Source organism: Homo sapiens, chromosome 15, assembly GCF_000001405.40.
Source record: "Homo sapiens chromosome 15, GRCh38.p14 Primary Assembly".
In the NCBI taxonomy this organism is placed as follows: domain Eukaryota; kingdom Metazoa; phylum Chordata; class Mammalia; order Primates; family Hominidae; genus Homo; species Homo sapiens.
In genome coordinates, this window is record NC_000015.10 from 25115916 (window position 1) to 25142415 (window position 26500).

At 35.4% G+C, this 26500-nt stretch overlaps 3 long non-coding RNA genes across 3 annotated transcripts in view; all 3 read left to right on the forward strand.

The window, feature by feature from the left end:
* The window catches only part of SNHG14 (small nucleolar RNA host gene 14), a 595855-nt gene that overhangs the window by 292308 nt on the left and 277047 nt on the right, over positions 1 to 26500 (forward strand). The window contains exons 60-61 of the long non-coding RNA NR_146177.1: positions 1495 to 1600; positions 2353 to 2467. This is a non-coding gene — a long non-coding RNA (small nucleolar RNA host gene 14). The remainder of the gene's footprint in view (positions 1 to 1494; positions 1601 to 2352; positions 2468 to 26500) is intronic.
* IPW (imprinted in Prader-Willi syndrome) lies at positions 630 to 6561 on the forward strand. Its single transcript, NR_023915.1, has 3 exons — positions 630 to 1600; positions 2353 to 2467; positions 3150 to 6561. It is a non-coding gene; the product is annotated as an imprinted in Prader-Willi syndrome (long non-coding RNA).
* Positions 19727 to 22138, forward strand: PWAR1 (Prader Willi/Angelman region RNA 1). The gene has a single exon (NR_022009.1). It is a non-coding gene; the product is annotated as a Prader Willi/Angelman region RNA 1 (long non-coding RNA).

Here is a 26500-nt window from a genome sequence, read left to right on the forward strand (position 1 = left end):
TCAGATTATCTAGAGCTACTACATGTATGCTATTCTATGATAAAAGATGTAGATGTGATAAAAACATTTATAAAATATCTGTCTTAGAAAAGTTAGCTAAAATTATTTTGGGAAAAGTATGTTTGAAAATAGAATCGTAAGCTACCACATTGTGATAAATATTTCTAAATGTGTCTATTAACTTGTCAGGAGACAACAGAGTGAATTAAAACAGTAGCCTTGTATCAGTATGTTTTTATTCAGAAGACAAATGCACGTTTTAACTATTATATGTTCTTGGCTTAACTTTTTTTGTAAAGTTAAGACATTACACTTTTACATGAATCTGTAATTTCAAGATATCTTAATGGTTGACAGGGACAGGACAATTGAAGAAAACCTGTAAATACATTTGGTAAAATTTATGATGGATTGTTTTGCAGATGGCTTCAGAGGTTATTAGCACATCTGTTTGAGATATGCACAGTTTTACATTTGTCCCTTAGGTAATCAACAGGGCTGAGATCAGTAAATCACATGTAAGCCACTGTTATGAGGCTATTCTGAATAGAGTTACATCATTTTATCATATCTAGACTTTCTAGTTATATTGGTGCTGTTGAAAATGATTTTGTATTACATGCTTTCTTCCAAATCATAGATCAAGATATTTTATTTATGTATGTCTTTTAAATGAAGAGTGGTTAGGATAGTCCTGATTATTGCACATAAATATTGCCTTTCACTAGATTATTGTTTTGGGCCAAATTTTAGACTATTATTTTAAAAAAGAGTACCTTAGTTTAATCCAACCTTTCCAGATACTTAGAAATTATTGAAATGTATATTTTGTGAAGATGGTCTTATGAAAGTTGTTGAGCTAGAAACATGTCCTTCACCAGTGGAATTCTTAGAAGCTTTCCTTGGGCTTCACTGGGTGCTAATAGACCATGATCGTATTGCTCTGTATATAATGGTACAAATTTTGTTTTATAACACTCAGTCTTAATAGAATGGGAATATTTTATCTTACTAACGTAGTCATTAGCTGGCCACTCTCTGTGTCCATTGGACCTTATAGGGTAAAGGGAGGGCAGTGCGTATTTGAAGCCTGTGCACGTGACACACAAAGGGCTTAGCAACCTCCGTGTTTTCCCAGCACAGGATACCCATTCTTCCTGAATGTTTCATTGTTAAATTAGATTGTGTGTGTGTGTGTGTGTGTGTGTGTGTATTTTATATTAACATACAGATGTATGTATTTTAGTTGCATTTTTTTTCTTAAAATGTTATTTTTTCTCTTTTTCTTTTATGTCAGGTGATGATAGAGCCCCTAGGGAAGCAAAACTGTCCATGCCCTTGCCTTAACTTTCAGATACGATAAAAACAACATTTATAAAATACCTGTCTTAGAAATATTAGCTAAAATTATGTTGGGGAAAGTATGTTTGAAAATAGAATTGTAAGCTACCACATTGTGATAAATATTACTAAATTTGTTTATTGACTTGTCAGGAAGCAAAAGAATGAATTAAAGAAAACTCCAGAGAATGAGCTGACAACCTACTCCCTGGTCAGTGGCTCTCCATGCCTACCTGTGGTCTCTTGGACACCCTTGCAGGTATGTGGGCAGGGAACTGCATGTTTATAGGAAACAGGCCTAGGATGGAAGGAGTTAATAGATCTTGCTCTTCTTGAGTTTGATGACATTTGTTTCCAGTTAAATAGCATGAAAACCCATCTGAGAGCCAGCTGAGGGTGGATACAGTTCTGGGGAGTTAAAGACGAGTGGTCACAACAGGTCTTCCTCGGCAATCCGAGCCCAAAACTGAATCTGCCTCCATAAGACCATTATGTGTCAGCTCTTTATTTATATGATTGATTCATCCAGTGGACTTTTAATTTCTTATGTCCAGATATTTTTTCAGTTCTTTTTTTCGTGATACAAGCACCTTGTGGATTGCCTGTCATAGAACAGGTTCTCAATAAACTTTTATTGAAAAAAGATGTATAAGTAGATTGTCTTGAGTAATTTTGTGAATAACCTGACCAACTAAGCAGTAGAAGACAAATGATTTTAAAACAGAAAGAGACATAACTTTCAGTGGGATTCAGGTGATCTAGTCGGGTCTGGAAATGCGCAAGAGAGAAGGTCCCTGATGCAGTGTGCTGACATTGAAATGTGTAGTTGTGGACTAGATGGTTATGGTTTCAGAACTGTGTAAGTAAGGGGTAGATTCCAAATTAAATCAATATTAAAGAGTAGCAGAGAAGGAATTTCCAGATTCCAGCTGCATTGCTTGTTTCATTGGAAGTGGTGTTTCTCTTTTTTCTTTTTTTTCTTTCTTTTTTTTTTTTTTTTTTAAACCTCAGAAGATGACTTCCTGGGAACTCTTCTGGGAGTGAATGTTATCAGCAAATTCCCAAAACAACACCCCTTAGACAAAAAGCCTCCTCACCTATGCATTGCCTAGACCACCCACTAAAGGTAAGATGTTAGTTAAAATAGTCCTTGCTTTCTGGGAGAAGCCATGTCTTAGTAGAAATTGAGCTGTTAATTTTCCGAATATTGATGATGTTTGATTACATTCTAATTGATTCTAAGATTTCATAATATGTTAAGAGATGCAGCTTTTCTTATATACCTTCGTGGCTTTTCTACATCTCAGTACATTTACTGTTAATATGAAGGATTTCCATAACTTCTCTCATCTAGTAAACTGAACTCCTTCATGGCTTGATCCATTGTGATGCTAGAAAATTGTTGTACACAGAAGACACAGTAGCCTCTCCATAACTGTTAGACTGGAAGTTTGACAAACTGGTCTGAAATAACTGATCAAATCAATGAATGACCTAGAGCTTTAAGAAACCAGATGGGAAGAGACAGACATGAAACCCAAGGTTGTTGATGGCTATTACTTTTGAGCCCAGCAAAAGGAGAAAAAGCAGCACCAATATCTGGCATCCTGGACATGAGGAAGTTTTAATGTCATTGTTTTGGCCTCATCATGGACCCAGGTGCTAGAAATGAGATTTTCTCTGTGTACTCTGGGTATATTTGTTCTAGCACAAGTAGGGGGAAGATTAAAGAGGAATTTCATACCCCCATGACTCCTTAGGAAATGTGTTTCTCACCTTTGCCACTTTTCCCCACTGTGTCCTTGCAGGTGATGGCCACAAAGAGGTGGATTTGTTGAGTTGGTGCCATTCCTTCTACTGCCAGCTTCACCAAAACAATGACACAGTCTTCCTTCCGCATGGAGACTCTTCTCTTTCCTGTGTTGCAGTGGATGCCTCCTGCAGATAAGAAATGCTTAACTGAGAAATGCTCATGTTGGGATATCATCGATGAGACTTTAATTTGGGCATGGTGACTGTTTCCCTTGCTGCCACTTGACTCAATCCCAGGAGCCTCAGTAGAGGATATAATATTACACAAGATGCTCAAAATGGTGGAATTGCTCAGTGCTCCCATAAATATACATTTATAATTTTCATTTGCCACATGGTAAACTGAAAAATACAGACTATATTAAAAAGAAACTGCATGATTTTTTTTCAAAAATTCAAAGCATATTTAAATAATATATAAATTAAATGCCCTCCTCTCTTCCAATTCTGTCCCTATAGTTTTCCTCTATTAAGTGAACTACATGCATTCTTTTAGTGGATAGATGCACACAAACACACAAGCCATTATGGGGAAGGATCCACGTGTGTGGCCATATTGTAACACATTTTTCTGCAAATCACCTCTTTCATTTAACAGCCCTTATTCAATGGCCTTTTTCTTTTTCAGTAGTACATACACATCTGTGTCATTTGTTGAATGACGACATGAATGTTTTGTAGATAAAATATAATTAAATGTTTTAAGCATTTCTCACTCATAGATATTTATGTTAGCACCAAATTTCTGTGCAATGAACCTCCCTATATATCAGTAATTTTGCATTTGTCTATAATATCATAATAAATTACTTATCAGTTGAATTACTGGGATTAAGTATGTGCACACTTTATATTTATATTTTGAAAATTATTGCAAGATTGCCTTCAAAAATGTGGTTAACAACTTTATCTTCAAATGGCAATGAATGAGATTGCCAGCTTTCCTACAGCCTCACAGACAATGGATTTTATAAATATTTAACATTTTTGCCAATGTGATCACCCAAACTATTGTCTTAAATTGTATCTCTTTTGTTTTTGAGTTTGGTCATTTTTTCATGTTTATTAGCCATCTGTATTTTTTAATTTCTTCTTTATGTCCAATTTTGTGGGTGGGAGGAGGATTTAGTCTCTTCCTGATTTCGAAGAGCTCATTTACTATTTCGGGAAATAAGATTTGGATTGTCAACCATTATAGCTATTTTTTACACACTTTTCAACTTTGTTTTTGTTATAAGAATGTGTATGATTGTTACATGTCCAAGTATAACCATGTTCGCTTTTATGGCTTCTGAGTTTCATGTCATTTTTGGAAAGATATATATATTGAGTCCATAAAACCCTTCACCTATGTTAAATTCTAATTCTTTTGTGTTTTTTTAATTCAAATTCTTAAATCATGAGAAATTTTTTTGTTTTGAAATCTTAAAGTTGCCAAGTTACTTGCCATTACTTGCGATTATTTGCCAATAATTGCCCATTTATCTGTACCGCCATCTTGCGCATATGCTGTACTCTCATCTGTGACTGGCTCCATTTTTGTTCTGTGGATTTGTGTGTCTCTTCTTCTGCCTCCTGTCTCGTGTCTGCTCGTTGGAAGAAATTACAGTTTAGACTGCAATTTCATCAACTTTAATAAATCAATTGAGGGGAGAATTGGTTTTTAAAAATATTAAGTAAGTCTTCGTATCCAAGGACAAGGTATGTCTTTTCTTATTCAATAATTTTAATTACTGTTAATATTTTCACTGTGGTGATGGGAGTTTTTCTTTTAATTTATTTTCTTGTTCATTTTTTGTATCTAAAGTTTTTGTTTTGTTTTGTTTTGGGGGTAAGTTGTCACCTTACTGTTTCTTGTTGCTTTTCAGATTTTTTCAAAGTATAGACTAAATCCTTCACAAATATTTAAAGTTTTTATTTTCCCCCTTCATATTGATCCTGATTTTAGTTATGTTGACAAAGTCCACAGACTGTTACTATCAGAACACTTGAACAGTTATGGAAATATTACCTACCCTTGATTTAATCAGAGTTTAATGGTATGCTTCTTTGGTTTGACTGGCACATTGTCGCTGGTCATTTCCTCCCAAAGACCACCAGAAAGAGCTATGATCAAGCAAAGCTGAGTTTGTTAAACTTACCTGCAGCAAGGGAAAACACCACCTTGATAGGGTTTAATAATGTTTCAAAATCAAGAAATGAGGCTTTGGGGTCTGGGCAGGGAACTAATTAGAAATGGGCAAAATTTGTCATGCAATACCTTGTGGGAAAGTGAGATGAGGTTCTTAATGTGAGTATTGATGGTGAAATCATTTTCTAGGTGAGCTGTTTGCCTATATAAAGATGTTATCAATGACAGAAGAACTATTTGCCTAGATAAACAAACTGAATTTATTTATTGGTTTACAGTTTTATCTTGCTGGGCAGGACTCTGCTGGGGGTGGTATCAGGTCTTATTCCCAATAGGTAAGTTATTTGGATATGGGTGGTCTTAATCATCAATGTGTAAAATGCTGATTTTAAGTGCGAAATACTTTGTCTACCATGTTAGGAAAGTCTGCCACCTTTTATCTTTTTTAAGGAATTTTAATCAAAACCAGGTGGTAGATATAATCAAATTGTTTTGCAGAATCAATTTTCCTGTTCTCTTTAAAGACTTTTATCACTGTGAATTAATTTACTATTATTGCAACTTCCTTTAATTCCTTGAATGAACAGACCCTACTGGTTTTAAAAATGTTTTATTCTTTTAATTTACTACTTAATTGTGGGTATTTTAATTTGATTTGGAATTTTTACAAGTATACAACTAAGTGAAATTGATCTGTGATTTTTCTTTTTTGTGCTATTTTTGTCATGTTTTGATATCAGATATTCTGGTTGTGTTAAAATAATTTTGAGGATTTTCTTCTTATACTGTGTTCTAGAGTGGGTAAAAAAGCCCTAGTCTCACTATCAGTGTTTAAGTGAACACATCAGTGACATCATCTGGACTCTCCTTTGTTTTTGCTGGTTTGGAGTTAGGACATCTAGAAGTTTTTTTCTTTTTTTCCTTTTTTTGTATGGTTATTGCTTGTTCTTTGTTTTGTGTCAAATTTAACCTGTTTTCTCTTAGCAAATCACAGCTCATGCAGATTTTCAAACACATTAGCCTTGTTATACAAAGTGTTCTTTCATCATTCTATTAAATTTCCATTTTCATTCCAGTTATAGTTATTTCTGCTGTGCCTTTGTTAATGAATAAGTTTAAACAGTGGATGTTTAGCATCACTAGCCTTCCCCTTCCATCTCCCTTAATCAGGACCTTGGTATAATTTATCAGGTATTTTTTAAGGTTCTAATTTACTTATATATATTGTTTCTGTATTCTTTTGTTTCTTTTCTTAATAAATTCTTAAACCTGTGTAACACATTCATATTCACTTGTTCTTGGCAATGAAAGATTTACCCTGCTGTGCATTTTATAAAACTTGTCATTATGAACACATTGTAAACATACAGTGTATGAAGAGAAGAAAACAGTGAACTAGCACATACAAGGAACTGGAACTGGTTCCATCATTATCAGTATTTTGCCATATTTACTTTGTGTTTATTTTAAGTATTTTCAAATAAGCTAGAGAAATCTTAACGCTTCTTATTCTCCCATAAACATTTTTACAATTTTATTTTTGAATGTGTATGTATACACATTCGTATGCTTTTATATTGTTCTATAACTTTCTTTTATATCATGTAATATATAAATATTTTAATATTTCTATCTGATTATTACATATCCATAGATGTGAAGCTTCCCTATTTTTAATAACTTATATTTTTACATAAGTAAAATTTACATAGTTAAATGCATTGATATATAGTAATTGTATAATTCAATAAGTTTCTTAAAAGTAATTACTATCCCATTCAGGAGATAGAATATTTTTATTACTTGAGAACCTACCCTATTGCCTCTTTCCAACCAAGCACCTTCTCAAAAAAACAATGTTGTGATTTTTATGATCATAGATAAGTTTTGCCTGTTTGGAAATTAATATAAATGGAATCACACAGTGTGTGTCTGGCTTCTTGCACTCATCATAATCATGTTGAGATTTATCTGTGCTATTCCCTATATCAGCAGTTTAAAAAAGTTTCTATAGTTGTAATATTTCACTAAATGGTTATATTGCAGTTTATCTATTCTCTTGTTGACGGACACCTGAGTAGTTTCTAGTTTTTAGCTGTTTTGAATGTTAGCAGATCTCTTATGTAAATACCTAAAAATTGAATTGTTTGATCATAAGACAGATTTTGCTTAACTTATAGGAAACTGCTAGAGAGTCTTCTAAAGAGATGGACACTTTTCGCACTCCCAACCAGTGATATGAGATTTTTAGTTGCTGTCCATTTTTGCCAACATTGGAAATTGTCAGTCTTATCTATTAAGTGGGTGTGAGGTGATATTTTGTTGTGACTTCAATTTGAAATTTGACCACTTAAGAAGGCAACCAGTTTTTCATGAAGTTATCCAATTGTAAATCTTCTTTAGTAAAATTTGTATATTTTTCCCAACTTTTAAATTACAATTTTGAAGTAATTTTGGACTTACGGGAAATTTGCAAAAATAGTAGAGTTCCTGTGTATTCTGTACCCAGCTTTCTGGATGTTAGCATTTTATATAATCATTATTATAACATTATTACATACAATGATAATTGAAATCAGGAAATTAATATAATACTGTCAACCAATCTGCAGACTATATTCAGGTTTTTCAAGTTATGCTACTAATGTCCTTTTTATCTAGTCCAGGATCCAATTCAAGATCTCTTATTTTATCTGGCATGTTTCCTTTGCCCTCTCTCCTGACTACAAATCTGGGAGAGCTCCCTCAGTCTTTCTTTGTATTTCATTTAATTGACACATTTGAGAAATACTAGACCATAATTTGGTACACTAGTCCTCAATTTGGATTTGTCCGATATTTTTATTATTAGATTAAGGTTATGCACTTTTGACAAAAGATAACACAGTAGTAACAGTGTGCCCTTTTCAGTGGATCATCTGGAGTACATGAAGTTAATGTCTTATTTCTGCTGATACTAAATATGACGCCTTTATTAAGGTAGTGTCTGCCAGGTTTATCCACTGCAAAGTTACTGTTTTCCTTTCTTTGTAATTAATATTTTATGAGAAAATAATTTGAGACTATGCAAATATTTTATTTCATCTAATTTCAGTATTAATTGAAGATTCTTGCCTGCAGCAATTATGATTATGGTGTTTACCTAGTAATGGTTTCTATTTCCATGATACTTTCTCTACTTACTAGAATTTGACTGTAAGGAAGATCTGTCCTTCTTCCCCATTTATTTGTACTCAGTTGTTATTTTACATCAGTATGGATTTGTGGATATCTTATTTTATGGATTGTTATATATTGCAATCATTGTTTGTGTTTGATTTTCAATTTTTTTTCTGGATTTGATCATTGGGAGCTCCTTAAAGTTGGCCCCTGTGTTCTTTTAATACAACCTCATAATTTTTTGACCACTTCTTATTTTCGGGTATCACAAGATATTCTAGGTTTATCTTGTATTTTCCTTCCCCACGCCTGTAATCAACCATTTCCTCAAGGGGTTCTAGTTCTTCATATTGGAAAATAGTATTTAGAAACCAAGATCTTGGTATTAAGTGTATTAATTGCTAATGGGGTTTTATTGCTTCTAGGCCTAGAGCTGGGAGCTGTGTGTCCGTTTACACACATACACATACACACACACCCCTATATTGTCTCTATTCATTTATCTATCTTAAATATATATACTAATAGTATGTAGAATACTATAGATAGTATATATCTATCTTTATTAAAAATCACAAGTTCATACTGTTGTGGATCATAATCCATCATCATATGGTTCATTTTATTCTTCCCTCTTGGCTTATTTGTGATTTGCTTCTTCAACAGTGAGAAACCTACCTTTCATTATCTACAATATGTTTTGTTATTTCTTCAGTGCAGTATACACTTAAATAATTTCAGAATTGCTAAATTATACCCCTTTAAAAATGAAATCACTAACTACAGCACAGTATTTAAATATAGTTCTTTTGTCTTTATCCTTAACAGCGTTCAGTCAACATACTATTATTTCTAAACGTATTTAGGTTAGTTATCTTTTTTTTCCTATCCCCTGCCATATGGTTACATTAATCATATAATCAAGCAGGTTTTTTTATTGTTTATATTCCATTTTGAGTTCCCTCACCTTTTGGATTATTTTAACTATATTTTGTATATGTGAAATATTACTATGTTTCTAAAAATTAGGACTGTGAGAAATACCACTCTCCCATCATCCCTGCTACACTGATTCTATTCCTCCCTTCTTTCCACCCTAATCTCACCCAACCCTTAGAGTTAACTAGTCTAATAGTTTCTGGTTTATTTTTTTCTCTTGTTATTCTTGTTCACAAGTGGGCAGATACATGTATATTTTATCATATATCACATGTATATTTTATATCCCCTTCCTTCTTACATGATTAGTGGCATACTATAGATTTTTTTTTGTTGCAGTTTTCTTTTTCCGCTTAATATGTCCTGGAAATCACTTCATGTGTATTCAAAGAGATATTCCTCATTCTGTCATGCTTAGTGCTTAACTCCATGGATGCACCACAATTTATTCAACCCCTCTGCTCTATGAGAATTGTTTGCAATATGTGTAAAGTATCACACTACAAATAGTTTTACATTGGATTGTTTATTTGCTCTTCGTTTGGAAGTGTTCTTTGTATTACTGGGACATACATTTCTTGTTCAATATATGTGTTGCAAAGGTTTCTTTCATTAAGTATCTTAGCCTGCCTGCCTTCCTTTCCATTTCCTTTCTTTTTCTTTTCTTTCTTCTCCTTTTAATGCTGTTATGCTCTAAATTTTAAAATGGCCCGAATTTGCCAGTGGCTCATCCCTTATTGCTATTTATTCTTCCTCTCCTTTTCTCCCCCATCTCTTTTCCTTTAATTTACGTGAAATTAACATAACGTAGCCATTTAGTGCATTCAAAATGTTTTGCAACTGCCATCCTTAACTAGTTCCAAAACATTTTCAGCACCCCAAAGACAACCCATACCCATTAAGCAGTCAGTCCCAACTCTCTTTCCCCATCTTTTCATTTTTGTTTTTTGGAGTTTTTTTGAGACAAAGTCTCACTTTGCACCCAGGCTGGAGTGCAATGGCACAATCATAGCTCACTGCAGCCTCAAATTCCTGGGCTTATGCAATACTTCCACCTTAGCCTCCCGAGCAGCTAGGACTACAGGCATATGTCACCACACCAGGCTAATTTATAAAAAAAATTTTTTAGACACAGAGTCTTGCAGTGTTGCCCAGGCTTCTTGTGTCTTTCGATAAACAGACATTGAAAATTTTTAAGTCCAGTATATCAGTTTGAGTCTCTTATTTTTAGTGCTTATTACTTACTATTAAATCTTTGCTTACTCCAGGTTTGCAAATAATAGTTTTCTAAGTTTTCTTCTAGAAGCTTTGGGACATAAGTATAACATCTATCTCAAATCATTTTCAAATGTAGTTGAAGTTACTTGTTTTCATCAATCTCCAGTTGTTGCAGAACCATTTGATCAAAAGATTTTTCTTTTTCTACTGAATTATCTAATGCCATTGTTGAAAATAAGTTGGCCATTTACGTATGGATCTTTTTTGAACTCTCTGTTTTTCCTTCTTTATGCCATTCTTTTTCACTGAAGTTTAATAGTAAATCTTGAGATTAAGTAGTGTGAGTCCAAAATTTTGTTATTTCAAGGCTTTATAGAGGAAGGAGATGGCTACACTGGGTCCTTTGTATGTTCACTTAAATTTTAAAATTATCTTGTCAATTTCCTAAAAAGCCCAACCGAGAAATTGATTTTGATTACATCAAAACTATAGATAAATTTAGGGGGGATTGACATCTTAACAATGTTGAGTCTGTAGTTCTCCATTTATTAGGTCGTCTATAATTTCTCATAGATGTCTTTTATGGTGTTTAGTATAGAAGCATACCTTGTAGTTTTCAATATAGAAACATTATTAAAATTTAACATTTAATAAACTAGATTAAATTGTTAAATTTATTTGTTTTGTTGTTTTGATGCTATTGTAAATGAATATGTTTAAATTTCGTTTTCCAGATTTGTTACTATTATATGAAAACAGTAATATTTTCACATTGCAACTGCTTTTCAGTTGGGTTGTCTTCTTTTCAGTCTTAGGAGAAAATATGTAATTTCTTACCATTAAGAAAGATACTAGCTGTTATTTTTTTGTAGATGCCCATTACCAAATTGAGCAAGTTTTATTCTAGTGCCAGTTTGCTGTTAATTTTTATAATAATAATGTGATAAATTTGCTGAATGTTTTTCTACATTTATTAATATAATCATGTTTTCCCCCTTATTCTCTTATTATGGGAGACTGCATTGGTCAGCTTTTGAATGTTAGCCCAACATTGCATTCTTGATGTAATCCAATTGGTCACTGTTATCCTTCTTGTATATATATTACTGTATTCAATTTTTCTGCTAGTTATTTAAGAGTTATTCACCTATGTCCGTGATGGCCATTATCCTGTGGTTTCCTTTTTAAAAATTATTTTTGTCAGATGTTGGCATTAGGCTTCATAAAATGTATTTAGTATAGTGCTCTATTTGCTAGTACACTTGACCCTTGAACAACAGACATGGAGATTAGGGGTTCAGACTCCCCCATAGTTGACAATCTGTGGACAATTGTTTGCTCTCCAGAAACTTAACTACGAATAGCCTACTGTTGACTGAAAGCCTTACAGATAACATAACTAGTCAATTAACACATATTTTATGTTATATGTATTACATACTATTTTATTAACAATAAAGTGAATGAGAGATAAAATGTTATTACGAGACATAAGGAAGAGAAAATATATTTACTATTCGTTACGTGAAAGTAGATGATCATAAAGGTCTTCATTCTCATTTTTATGTTGAATAGGCTGAGGAGGAGGAAGAAGAGGAGGGGTTGTTCTTACTGTATCGGGGTGGCAGAAGCAGTACACTTGGTGTAACTGTATGGAAATATAGTTTCTAGCTTTTTTGATTTTTCATTTCTCTAAAAATGTTTCTATATGGTACAGTCCTTCTTCCACTGTTTACTTATTTGTAGTACCCACATCATAGAAGGAGCCATATTGTAAAGAAGTCAAATGCAGACTTAAATAATTAGAAACCTTCTGCCAGCGTGTTTTTCTGGCACTCCTTCTGTGTCGTCTTCCTTATCGTCTGGTACTGGTTCAGAAGCACTTGTCTCCATCACGTCATCTTCTGTTAATTCCTCTAGTGTGTTATCTATTAGCTCTTGAATTTCTCCAAGGTGTATATCTTGAAAGCCTTCACTCACCACCCTTTTTTCCGTGTTCACGATCTCTTTCGTGATTTCCTTGGTTGGCTGTATTGTAAATCCTGTCAAGTCATGCACAACATCTGGACACAGTTTCCTCCAGCAGGGGAGTGTGTTGTGTTGGGCTTGATGCTTTCACAGCTTTTTGTGTAACGATGGCATCTTCAGTGCTGTGATCCTTCCAGACTTTCATGATGTTCTATCAGGGTTCTCTTGCATAGTGTTAGATAATCCTTTCCATAAAGTACTGTGTGTAATGAGCCTTAATGGTCCTTATGACTCCCTGATCTAGAGGATGATTTAGAGATGTTATGTCTGGGGGCAAATAGACCACTTTGACACCTTCAGTATTGAACTCATGGGGTCAGGGACATTGTCCAATCAAAAAAAAAAACTTTAAAAGGCACTCACTTACTGCAAGGTACTTCTTGACATCAGGGTCAAAACATCAATGAAACCAATACAGAAAAAAAGACTTCTTATTGTCCAGGCCTTTTTGTTTTACAATCAAAAGACCGGCAGCTGGTGTTTTAACTTTTCCCTTCGAGGCTCAGGAGTTAGCTGCTTTATAGATAAGGTCAGTCCTGATCATAAACCCAATTACATTTGCACAAAACAGTAGAATTAGCCCATCCCTTCCTGCCTTAAATCCTGGTGCTCACTTCTCTTCCTTACTAATAAATGTCCTTTCTGGCATTTTTTTTTTTTCAGAGTAGGGCACTTTCGTCAGTTTAAAAACCTGTTCAGGCAGATATCCTTTCTCCTCAATGATTTTCTTAATGGCATCTGGGAACTGCTTCTCCTGCTTGACTGTTTTTAAGCCAGACTTCTTTCTAAAATTATCAAACCATCCTTTGCTGGCATTAAATTCTCCAGATTTAGAACCTTCACCTTCCTTTTGCTTAGGATCATCTTGCACCCTAGAGGTATGCCTTACAGCAATCCTGTACCCGCAGAAAAGATGCATTTTCAATAGATAGATACTTTGCAAAAGTGCAAGGTTTTCACAGTGTTGGTACAGCTGCAACAATGGCTTCATGAATTTCCTTTTTTTTTTTTTTTTTTTTAACAATTGTCCTCACACTGGATTTACTTATCTTGAAATGGCAAGTAGCCCCTGCTGGAGACCTCAATCTGTGGTACCTTTTAAGCAATTAAACGTTTTCTTGTAATGTCATGACTTTCCTCTGCTTCTTAGGAGTACTTCCAGTATCACCAGTGGCACTTCATATGGGTCCCATGGTGTTAAGGTTTATGGTATTACACAAGACACTATGAAAAGTAATATGAGAACTGTGAAAGCTTTTGTTTTGCTGCCACATGCAATTTACTGGAGGGAGAAACTGTTTCCTGGCATGATTTCGGGTCACCTGGCACTTTAAGCAGATGCAATTGAGCTCCCCACTGTAGCAAAAGGAGGTGGCTACAAAATTATTACAATAATGCTGGGTGTACTACAGCTAATTTTATGCAGTTAGGATTTAATACCACATATTTACATTTCTCTCAACTGCAAATGGCACCATGTAGGATCTGTGAGTATGTGTGAGTAGGTTTTGATAAATTTTAACTTTTTATAATTTGTGTATATTTTATGGTAATAAATGATAAAAATAGGCTAGTATCTACATCTATTTTATGCATTCATGACATACCTTTTTCTTAATTTTTTTGGTATTTCTGGACTACGCAGTTGAGTTTTTTCAAATTGTCACAAATTTCCAAAAATGTATCCAATGTATTTATTGAAAAAAGTCTGCATATAAATAGATCATATGCAGTTCAAACTTGTGCTGTTCAAAGGTCAAATTTCTTTGTGGAATGTTTGATAGAATTCATTAGTGAAATGATCTGGGCCTGGAGTTTCCTTCGTGATATTTTAATGAACAATTTCAGTTTATTTAATAATACAGGATTGAGAGTTTCTGTTTCATTTAATGGCAGCTTTAGTACTGTTTTTCAAAGAGTATAGTCCATTTTATCAGATTTGTCAAATTCAGTAGTATAAAGTTGCTCATGATAGTTCCTTATTACCCTTATACTGTCTGTAAGATCTCACCTTTCCAATTCTGATATAGGTAATATTATTTTTTCTCAGGTTGGTCTTTTTTTTTTTTTTTTTTTTTAACTATCTTGTCATTTAAAAGAATCAATCTTTGATTTGCTAATTTTCTCTTTATCTGTTTTTTATATTATTGATTTCTTTCCTTCATCTTACCTTGGTTTTAATATGCTCTTTTTTTTGGTAGCTTCTTAATCTTGAGACTATTAAGTCTTCTATTATGTACCTTACTTATTTTCTAATATAACCATTGAAGGCTATAAGCACTACATTGATAGATTCCACAAACTTTGATATATTGTTTTAATTACCATTTAATTCAATTATTTTCTTCCTTTGTGTTTTAATTTGATCTGTTATTTTTAAGTGGAGTATTTAATTTCCAAATATTTGGGGCTTTTCTGTGTAGTTTGTTACAACTTCTGTTTTAGTTTTGTTTTGGTTCTAAAAAGTTACTCTGATATTTCAGCTTTCCAAATTTATTGAGACTTATGGTCTAGCATATGATCTGTCTTGACAAAAGTTTCACATGCACAGGAATATATATTTAAACTCAAGGTGTGCAGATTTTGTTCAGATAGATAGTGTCTAGATTTTCTAGATTGTCAGTGAATTTTTACAATTGTTTTATAAGTTACAAAGAGAATAGTGTAAAAAATTTCTGCTGTGATTATGATTTTCTTTATCTTTAGTTCTCTCAGTTCTTCGTGTATTTGGAAATATCTTATTGTTTATACTTTTATGAACATCATGACTGTAATAAATTTTATCTTTTCCTAATTTGGCCTGTCTTACCTTATGTAATATTTCTGGTCTTGATGTCTGCTTCGTCTGATATCTGAATAATATTACCAGTTTTCTTGGGTTTGCAGTATGTCTGGTGTATCTTTTTCTGTTCTTTAAATCTGTCTTCATAGTGCTTCCATTATAGAGAGCATAGAGATGGATCTTTTTTGTCCAATTTAACCATCAGTGACTTTTAAGTCTTTGGGGTCTTAAGTCCCTTTGCATTAAACATACTAACGTGACTAGACTTATGCCTACTATTTAGCTATTGTTTTTCCATTTGTCCCCTCTAGTTTGTTCCTCTCTGCCTGCTTTGCTTCGTTCTTTTGGGTTAATTGAATATTTTTAGTATCCTACATTAACTTCTCTGTTTACATTTCGGCTCCACCTCTGGGTATTTTGTATGGGTTATAAAATGTACCCTTAATTTATGACAATCTGCTTAGAGTTAGTATTGTACACTTCTCATGAAGTAAAATTTTATATATATATATATATATATATATATATATATATATATATATATATATATATATGAGGGAGTCTCAATCTGTCACCCAGACTGGAGTGCGGGGGCATGATCTCAGCTCACTGCAACATTAGGTGGAACTGTATTAACTCTAAAAGGACTGTGATAATTTAAAGATGTATATTATAACCATAGAATAATCACTAAAAAGTACAGAGAAATATAGCTAAAAAAGCAACAGCAGAATTAAAATGTAATAGTAAAAATACTTGATTAAAAGAATACAGGAAAGAATGAAGAAAAGAACAAAGTAAACTGTATAGAAAACAGATGGCAAAATGGTAGACCTAAACACAGTCATATTATAAATTACTTTAACGGTACACTTGTTTTTCATTGCTTTAATTGATCAAATGATAGGTAAAGTATTTTAAAGTCTCTTTGTAGTTTTCTTTAAATCTTAACATTTTGTGCAATGTTTGCTTTGTGAAGATTGATGCTATGATATTTACCAATCATTTAGAAGAGATATTGCTGGGTGTTTTGGTAAGTTTAGGTTACTTACATATCTTATATGATGAAATCAACATTTTTTATTTGATCAACTTAATAGAGGCATCCTGTTTGAAAGAAGAAAATAACAGATCTACAAAATTCTGATTCATGTAATAAGTAACCATTATGATAATAAATGTTTTTATTTATTGAGTGCATACTGAAAAGTGGTAGGAAGATTTTGTGCTGAAATATTTGTAAACCTAGTAATTAAAAAATGTTTTGGCTGGGCTTGTTGGCTCACGCCTGTAATCCCAGCTCTTTGGGAGGCCGAGGGGGGTGGATCACTTGAGGTCAGGAGTTCGAGTTCGAGACCAGCCTGGCCAATATGGTGAAACCCTGTCTCTACTAAAAATATAAAAATTAGCCAGGCATGGTGGTGCACGCCTGTAGTCCCAGCTACTCGGGAGGCTGAGATGGGAGAGTCGCTTGAACCCAGGAAGCAGAGGTTGCCGTGAGTCAAGATTACACCATTGCACTCCAGCCTGGGTGTCGCAGTGAGACTCTGCCTCAAAAAAAAAAAAAAAAAAAAAGCTGCTAATTACCCCATGCTAAATGTGTTGTAATGGTATTAATTTGATATATAACATATATGTAACATTTTATATATGTGCTCATATGATGATACTGATAATACCTCCCTCAAATTGCTCTTTTGAGTATTAAGAAAAGTTTATATAGAAAAACCAGTTTGGAAAGGTTTGGAACATAAGGCTACAGTGATTAGATGTTGAGAACAGCAGCAATAATAGTTGTCATTATAATATCTGATTAAGGCAATATTTGCACCCAGGTATACCTTGCTTCAGAACTGTGTGATTAACCATTATACCTTGAGGCTATTCATACCCTACCTTCACTTTGTTGGCATAATCTGAAGTTTTAAACCATAATCACATATTGCATTTGCACAATTAAATTTTAAAATATATACAAATTACAGTCAAATTATTGCATTCATTTCATGACTATATTCTGTTTCCATCCATAAGTACCGTATGGTCAACAATAACATGTCAAAGAGAATTTTGTTGTCACCTCGTTTCATTGTACCATGTTCACACTGTTCTTTATCTCTTTTTTCCATTGGCAGTATTGTGTTCTCAAGAAGAATTATTCCAGAAGCACCCCTGAAATAATATATTTCCTTAATTTTGGTATTATTAGCCCTTCTTTGCTTTTCTCTATAAATTGTCCTGATCAGTCACCTCTCTCAATTATATACAACACAAAGTAGCTTAAAGGAGAAAAAAAAGGAGATAAATAACCATGTTGGGTCTGGCGTCAGGCTTAATGGAGTCCAGTAGTCCAGAATTTAAAGACACATATGACCGTTTGCTCCCTTATCTCTTAGTTCTCCATTTCTTGGTTTGGCTTAAATCTTCAGTCACTTTTTCTTTATGTGAATTTGCAAAGGGATCATTTGAAGCCCTAGATGCAATTATTACCTGCCTTGCAATCTTGGTAGGATGTGTCCTCCTTCCCTCCTCCTTGTCCATGTAAAAGTTGGTGGGTGAAGAGATGGACAAGGCTTGAGTCACTAAGACATTCACTGACCTGGGAATAACTCAGGATAGGTCTGGTCATATCCCCAATGGAGGCAATGTACCCTAATGAAAAGGTCAGGGTCACTGGTCTCATTGTCCAAGGTGTTATCTGAGCTCATGGTCTCACAACCAAGAAAATTAAGGAGTATGGACACAGGGTGAGGTTGGTTGGAGCAAAAGTTTAGTAAGCGAAAGAAGAAAGCTCTCTGCAGCAGAGAGGGGAGTCCAAGTGGATTGCCGTTTTTACAGTCATTCAAAAGCTTTTTTAAGAAACTCCTCTCATCTCTGTAGCACTTTGAGTAACTTCTCTTATCAGCAAAGCTGTCTGTACAACTCCCCTTATCTTATGCAGCTGTGGGTATGTCTCTAGGCAAGCACAAAGCGCCGCTTATTTTTGTTTGTGTAACTGAGGGTTTGTTTTAGGTAAGCCCCCTCCTTTCTGTGCAGGCTTCCAGGGAGCCCACCATGTACATATCTGAAAAGGGAAGGAAACTTTTTGCTGGGAGCTTGTTAATCATACAAAGAATAAAGGGCTTCCATGCCAGACTTTGCCTGCCTGCTTATCTATGGCTTATCTGTGCAGCTATAGCCTGAGTTTCCCCTGGCTGCTCTGTTTTTGCCTGTAGCTGTGATTTTTTCAGGCAGACAGCTTCTCTGAGGACTAGTCTCTTAGCTGTTTACTCAAGTAATTTTTCCTGTCCTTTTCCCTCACTATGATTACCAGCTCCCCTAGGACTTCATGGTCTGGAATGAAATATTCCGTGGGAGTCAGGGAAAGGGAGTTTGTTGCAAACATGTCCAGGCCAGACACTTTATATAAAGTGTCAAAGTAAAGTACACTTACATAAAGTGTAAGTGCTGCCACCACCACTAGGGTGCCAGGTACTCTAACACAAGTCTTTATTCCCATAGATGTGAGTTAACATTTATACCACCAGCTCACACTATCAAACAATCCCACGTACCCCAAATAAACACTGGTGCCTGGTGGGCAGCAACAAGCCCTCCTTCAAGGAAGGAGTTCATTTGTTGGTTTATCCAGCTGCTCCCGCTTTGCTTATGGAAGCGCTCCGTTTTCTAGGGGTCTTAGAAGCTGTAGCAGTGGTAGAAAGCCCCTTTTTTGTGGACTATTATGACTTAGGCTTTTATCAGAGCCTCAGAGAATTGCTGTTGTTTTGTTGGTTAGGCTTTAGGTTTCCAATCTGCATACACAATTCCTTTGAAGCACCAGGCTTCCAGGCAATTTGGTTGAGGGAACTTATTGGGATATGAAATATTATCAGGCACCATTTCTAATCAATGTACCTAAGTTATGACTTCAGGTTTAGAGAAAAAAAAAATTTTTTTCCCTTGGCTTCAGGCTTCCTTCTGGAGGTGATAACCTCCTAAATGGACTGTCTTTAAGGGCCTGTGGCATGTGCCCTCCTTTCAGGAAACTAGTGTATGCCTGGAGGCATTGGTAATGGCTTCTCTCATCTTACTGTGGCTTGGGAAGAATATGGCTATTGCAGATTTTCTAGTTTCATTACCACCTGACCTTCAGGCTCCTTACATGTTATAGGCAGAAAAGGTGCCTCCACAAAGTTGTGGGCTATTCTCTGCTTTCAGAAGGACAGCTGGAAATGGTACTTAATTCTTTGTAGCAGCACCATCATGAATAGCTGCCCACACCCATATACATCATTATCTTTTTTGGTGAAGACTCTAAGACTTCAGGCCATGATATCCACAAGGCTATGTTCATGCACTACTTCGGTATAATCTCAAAATAATTGCCAGCTCCCCAGTGGAACGCCTGCCTTGGTCCATGTGGAATGTGGGCATATGGTAGGATTTCCTTGGAGGAACTAGAAGAGGAACATAAAGAATGTTAGGCATATAAATTATTGTTTCTTTTTCTTCTTGTTTCTTTCCACTGAGTTATGTGTGAGCCCCCACACCCACCCTACCTTCCTGTCCTCTACCTTACTGATGCTATTTTCAGGCTGTTGTAGAATTGGGTGTGTAAAATTAAATTAGCCTTTCTCCTCTTAATATCTGTAAAATGAACAAATTTGACAAAGAAACTACCTATCTGATATATAAGAAGGTTATTAGCCTGTACCACAAGTGAAAAAGTTTCATCCTGATATATCAAAATAGTACCACTTGAAGGAAAACGTTGGGGCCATCTGTTTCTCTCATTGTAGTTAGAGTACAGATTTTTAAAATATGAGCCTCAGGCATAAAAATGCAGTATTAGCAACTCAACTTGAAGAAGCAGTTACTAGTGTCCTGGGTGGGCCCCAGGGAAAATAGTACCAACTGCCTGTTATATTTAACTGCAATTAAAAATGGCAGTGCTGGGTATCTTCTGTCTCTGGGTCATCTCCTAAAGATCCTGCAGAGGGAGCCATAGCTAGTGTAGAGGCCAGCCATAACTAGCCATGGCAAAGACCACAGGGAACGCTCTTCAACATGCTCTGCACTGATCCTCTACCCTGGTGTGGAGAAATGTCAGATTCATCACTAACAAGGTTAAAGGTGTAAATTGAGGGAAAAAAATGAGAAAAGTTATCTTTCACATAAGACTTCAGAAAGAAATTGCGTCGTCAGGTTTGGAACTGGTTTGTAATTTCATCCAGTTATTTTCATTTTAATTACTGTCACTGTTTTCTTCATCCTTGATAAACTATGAGCTCTTTGAGATTGTCTTTTTCATATCCTGATGTCAGAGCTTCCTGTATTTTCTGATCATGGTATGTGCTAAGTAAATGCAATTTTTAGCATTTTGAATGGTTTATCAAATGATTGAAGGAGTGGGTAATAATATAGATTACATATACAGTCAGCCACATATGTGTATGTATGTGTATTTGTGTGTGTGTGTGTATATGTATATACTGTTGACCCTCCGTATCAATGGGTTTCACATTTGTGGATTCATCCAATCATGGATCAAAAATATTCTTTAAAAATATGGTTGCATCTGTACTGAACAGGCACAAACTTTTTTTCTTATCATTATTCCCTAAACAATGCAGTATGACAACTATTTATCATAGCATTGACACTGCATTAGATATGATAAGTAATCTAGAGATTAAAGTATATAGGAGGATGCATGTGGATCATATGCAAATAATACACTACATCTTATATAAGGGACTTGAACATCCATGGAGTTTGGTATGTGGTGGGTGATACCTCCTCTTTGAGGAGGTGAGTATCAGAGACGCAGGTAAATATGATCCAGAGGGCAAAGAGGCATTGCCAGCCTCACACTGGCTGTCAACACCATGCTGAGTTCCACGAAAGCAGCGAGGAGAGGGTGGTGTTCTTGTTTCTGGTACAATACCTGGCATAGAGAAGATGTCACAGCAATGTTCGTCTATTGAATAAGTCACCAAAATTGTGAATGACTGAATAAATGGGCAAAGGGATTTGTTCCCTACTTGCTGTGGGAAGTTTCTTGTAGTTATGACCTCCATGAAAGAGAGACTCGTATCTGGAGAAAGTTCATAGCTGAAACCATGAGATTTAACTTTTGAAGTTATAATGGATCTATTTTTTTAACATCATAAATGAAGATTATGCAATACTGTATGTGCTTCAATTGACACAACCCCTTCCCATTCAGGGCTGATTTATGTTCTGTACTGAATGACAGGCACAGAAGTAAATGTGATAATCCTGTCCCGTCGTTACCCTTTATTGTGGTCTTGCTGTGTCCCAGCCACACACTTCATACTGTATCTGTGTCATCATTCTCATATACATCTATATAGGTACACTTCCATAGACTTAGGCCCATTTAATGGAGGAGCAACTCCAACATTTAGAGATCATGAAAGGTACCTCATGACATATATTGACCTAGTGGCAGAGCTGCTTAGTTCTACAGCCTCTGAGTGGAATCCTCACGACAGTAAAAACACAAGCTTGGTTTCTCACACACTCTACCTGCTTTTTCTCATCCCCTTTAGTCTCTATTCCTTGCTGAGATGTGTTAGGCATTAAATGGTTACAGTCTACTTCTGTGTGTAGTCTCCAAACACTCAGAAACCTCAAAATTTAAAAAAATACAGAACAATATGTTATTAAATAATCAGGGACAAGTTAAAATGGTAAAGAGAATAGGCCACTTTGTGAAATCATATGCAGGGAAGAAAAAAATACTGGAGTGAAAACAATATAAAAATAATACTAGATGCTGTTTCGTAGCACCAAGTGTGTTCTAGCTTCTGTGGTTGTTGCTTTATATCATTTTATATAATCTTTACACAAAACCTACAAGCAGATATTATTTCCCCTATTTCAAAAATGAGAAAACCAAGGCAAATAGTTGGTAAGTAGTACATATATATTATCCTAACTCTGAACTTCTGGATTCAAAGACCATGTTCTAGGATACCATTTTGTGTACCAGCATGGAATATGTTTTTAGTTCATCTATTTACTCTAAAAATGTGGAGCATGTAGTGTGAGACAGAACTGTTCTAGGCTGTGAGGAAGTAGCTGTGAGGATGGTAGTATGGGTCCCTGTAATAATGAAAATGGAATATATTGGTATGTACAAGTACATGCTCATTAAAGGAAATTGATGTTGGCATAGATTGCCTGGGTTCAAATTCCCATTTACCATGTTTTCCTAGTTGTCTCTGTGGTGAGAGGAGGTGGAATGTACTAGCCATTACCAAAATTAAGAGAGATTGTTGGAAAAAGTCTCATTTAGCACAATAACACATTAAATGTATTCAATAAATGTTACTTATGACTCTTTGAGAAAACATACGTTTAAAAAACATGGCTTATGTTACACATACTATATGCTGGCTCCCAAAAATAAACATATTTCCCAAGAAGTGTCTGTTGATAAAGCCAAATATATTCTTACTACACTAAGGGGAAGCCCATCTTAGCAGTGTCTCAGCAGCATATTAGGGGCGTGGGGGACAAAACAGGATATCTGGGATCTTGAAGTTTCATTTTAGATGGGTCTTTCAGTGTGGGAGCTTGATTAGGATTGGGTGAGGGTCATGACACAGCATTTTAAGATTGAACGTTAGGATTTTGAGATGAGGGATTCTACAGTGTGGAGGCATAAGCTGTGGTCTGATGCTTTCTGTTGATGAGTTGATGGTCTTTGGGAAGTTCCCAGGATGAACAAAAATATTTGCAACTTTTATCTTCCTGGGCAAGAGTCTCAGAACATCTACACTTATATCAATGAAGGTAAAATGATAATAATGTCCCCAGCGAAGACAGGAAGCCATGTGGGTAGATAATGTAAGTTGTGTCATTTCATGGTTCCATGGATAAGCAGCTGTACTTAAGCTGCTTATCCTGGTGGATTCTGGAGATCCACACTTGAAGGTATCAACACAGAAATATACTAAGAGGATTGTGGTCAGAGTTTGTTGTCAGCTACTGAGTGAGGAGCCAGGAACATACAGCTTTTACCAAGAAAATCTATACCATCCACACTGTGATGAGCCCACAAGACCAGATATGGGACTTTAGCCAAATTACCTAATTTTATTATGTCTTTGATTGCTTTCTGGTCCTTATCTGGGATATCAGAGATCCCAGAGAGATGGCAGGGATGCAAATTAAACATTCTTCCCCCAAAAACAACACATTTTTCCCTTATAAAATTACTATATTCTGAAAAATTTCATGAACCTCCAAGTCAAGATGGGGCATTGTCTAACTTGCCTGCTGTTTGCTATACAATAGCATGGAGTCAGCTCCAGGCTTCCCAACCCTTTCGAAAAGCATGAATTGAAGAGGCTTAAGGAGAGAAGAAAGCAACCCAGAATTCCCTGTGTGGTTACAGTTTGGGTTCTTGCCTCAAGGCCTGGTTTTTCTCTTTTTGGAGTAAAGTTATCTGAAGACCTCTTTTTCTAAGAGAAGAAACTAATGGGTCAAAATGGACCCTGGGGGATGTCAGGGACTACAGTGAAGGCAGACGTTAGTTCACCCCTGAAATAAATTTCTGTCCAGTGTGCAGACAGTAGCCAGCAGACCTTTGTCTCCATCATCCAATACCAGTCTTTTCAGATCTAGTCAATGATCTATTTAAAGCCAAAATATCCTTATGAGACTGTCAAATAGTATTGTATTTTTTTGTATCACTCGTCAAGAATAGCTTAGTACCCGGCAATAAATTTTATAGTACTGATATTAATAGATCTCAGGTGAAAGAAAAGTCATGTGTCTTATAAGATGGGTGAAAGCCACCTCCAAATAGATACTCTGTTCTCTAGTTGTTTTTCATGTTCTATTCCTCTGTAAGTTCAGTTACAAAAGCTGACTTCCACAAAAAGTTCTCCAGTATTGTTTTGGAACCTTATTTTCTAATATCTTGTCATATACGAGTTGAGTCCCAATTAATGATTCATTATGAGGAACTGGAAACGAGAAACTGAGTGGCTCACCAAGGAAAATATGTGCAAACCTAACGGACAATTTGGTTATATGATTTAACCACTGCATGCATAAATTATAACTAGGTATTGGACTCATACTGAGGAGTGATTAAAATGTAACTATGCCTTATAAGCAACATAATTAAATGTAGCTTTAAGCCAGATAGGCAAGAAAATAACAAAAGGACGCAGATTAAAACATGACAATATATGGTATTGTTCTATGAGTCTTGAGTGGAAACTCTACATTTCATGCAGTCATCTACTTGGGCTAAAAATCATGTGTAGTGGCCATCTCCTTCCAAAGACCATCTTACTTCTAATGAGTTCTCATTGAGGTCTCACGTTCTCAGTCTGAGGTCTCCAGGTCTCAAGATTTCTCAGCTTGAGGTCTCCAGTAATGATTTAAGATGGTTTATGCCTCTTTGATTGGAAGACATCACTCTCAGTATCAACTCCCTGGAATTTTACTTCTGGATGAGTCGTTAACAGTATCCGATAGGGTCTTTTCCATCAGGGTTCGAGGGCTTTCTTTCTCAGGTATCTCTCCTGGAGATACCTGAGACCAAGCCTCTGAATTTAGACCATGTGAGGGTCATTTAGTAGAGGAAAAGCTGCTTGTTTACCTCTTAATAAGACTGGATAAATTGCCTGAGTTACCTGCAATATTTGGCTGTGATCACTTCCAATAATGTAGAGTCTAGAAGCAGAGGAGATATTCCTAGACTCGTGGGTTGGCCTGTTGCTAACTCAAAAGGGAAGATTTGATGAACCCCAGAAGTTGAGCTCATTGTCATTAAAGCAAACATTAGGCCATGTGAGTTTGAGAGTCTTTGATAGTTTTGCTAATTTGAGCTTAAACTTTTTGTTTATTCTTTCTATATTTCCTGAAGATTAGAGTAATATGGACAGCAGCGTTTCTGTGTGGACTGGCAGAGCTGTACAAAGCTCTTTATCATCTCAGTAAAATGGAGATAGTTTATACTTGTACTAGAGAGAGAGTTTGGGAACATAAAATCATGTCAAATTTTGCTCTGGCAGAGCTGGAAATCTCCAAACAAGGCCTCAATCTATCCTCCAAATAAGCGAACAATTACCATACATACTCAAAACCCATTGCAGAAGGTACTTACAAAATCTGTAAGTGTTCTAAGGGGCCCTGAGATTCTTGTTCATGCCCCATCTTTGCATTTTTACCAAGATTATACTGGTAACAAATAAGACACCGCATGCAACCTCAATAATCTTAGTGAAATTTCTCCATCAATGTTGATTGAGTGCAGTAGCCAATTTTTCTTTGCTTAGGTAGTTAATTGCATATTAAATGTTTGAAACATCCCGTTTAAGGTCCTCTGGCGCTACTAAGCATCTATCCTAGAGTGTGAGAGATTTTCCTCTTGCAATTTACCTGCAGATTTATATTAGTAACGGTTTGCCAACTGTGGAACCAATTGTTGACATTCTATAAGAACCTGTTTGAACCCGTCAGAAGGTTTGATTATGAGGACCAGGATCTTAGTGAGGGCTCCATGCTGGGGCCTCCTGGTATCCCCATCTTGTATTAGTGTTTGTTTTTTTAATAGCCACATCTTTAGCAAGCTTTACAATACTCAAAAGTTCTTTTATTTGCTGACCATTTTTAGTAGAGGCTCCTGCTGAGATTGAGAACTCTGTTTGTTCACAAACAAGACCAAGAACTACACACAAAGCATACCTGCCACCAGCACTCTCCTATCTCACTCAAACTGACCAGATCTGTAGAGCGAAATGAGTCCTGTCATCTGGCAGATTTTGCCTCTGGTAGTGATTATAAGGGTGAAGTATGTCACATCATGTGCCATCTGATATTCTTTTGTCCCAGTCTTAAAGTACAGCACATCAAAGAACAAGATGAAACATGGATTTTTAAAAAGAGATTACTAATACATCTATTTAGGGCATAGTTTGTAAACAAAGACAGTACACAGCTTCTTCTTAAGGTAATGGAAAAAGTAGCAATTTTGAAAGTATTGCCATAAGTAATAAAGATGTGAGGTGCTGATGTGAAGTAATATTTCATAGGAATTTAAGCCTCTATGCTGAAAAGTATGT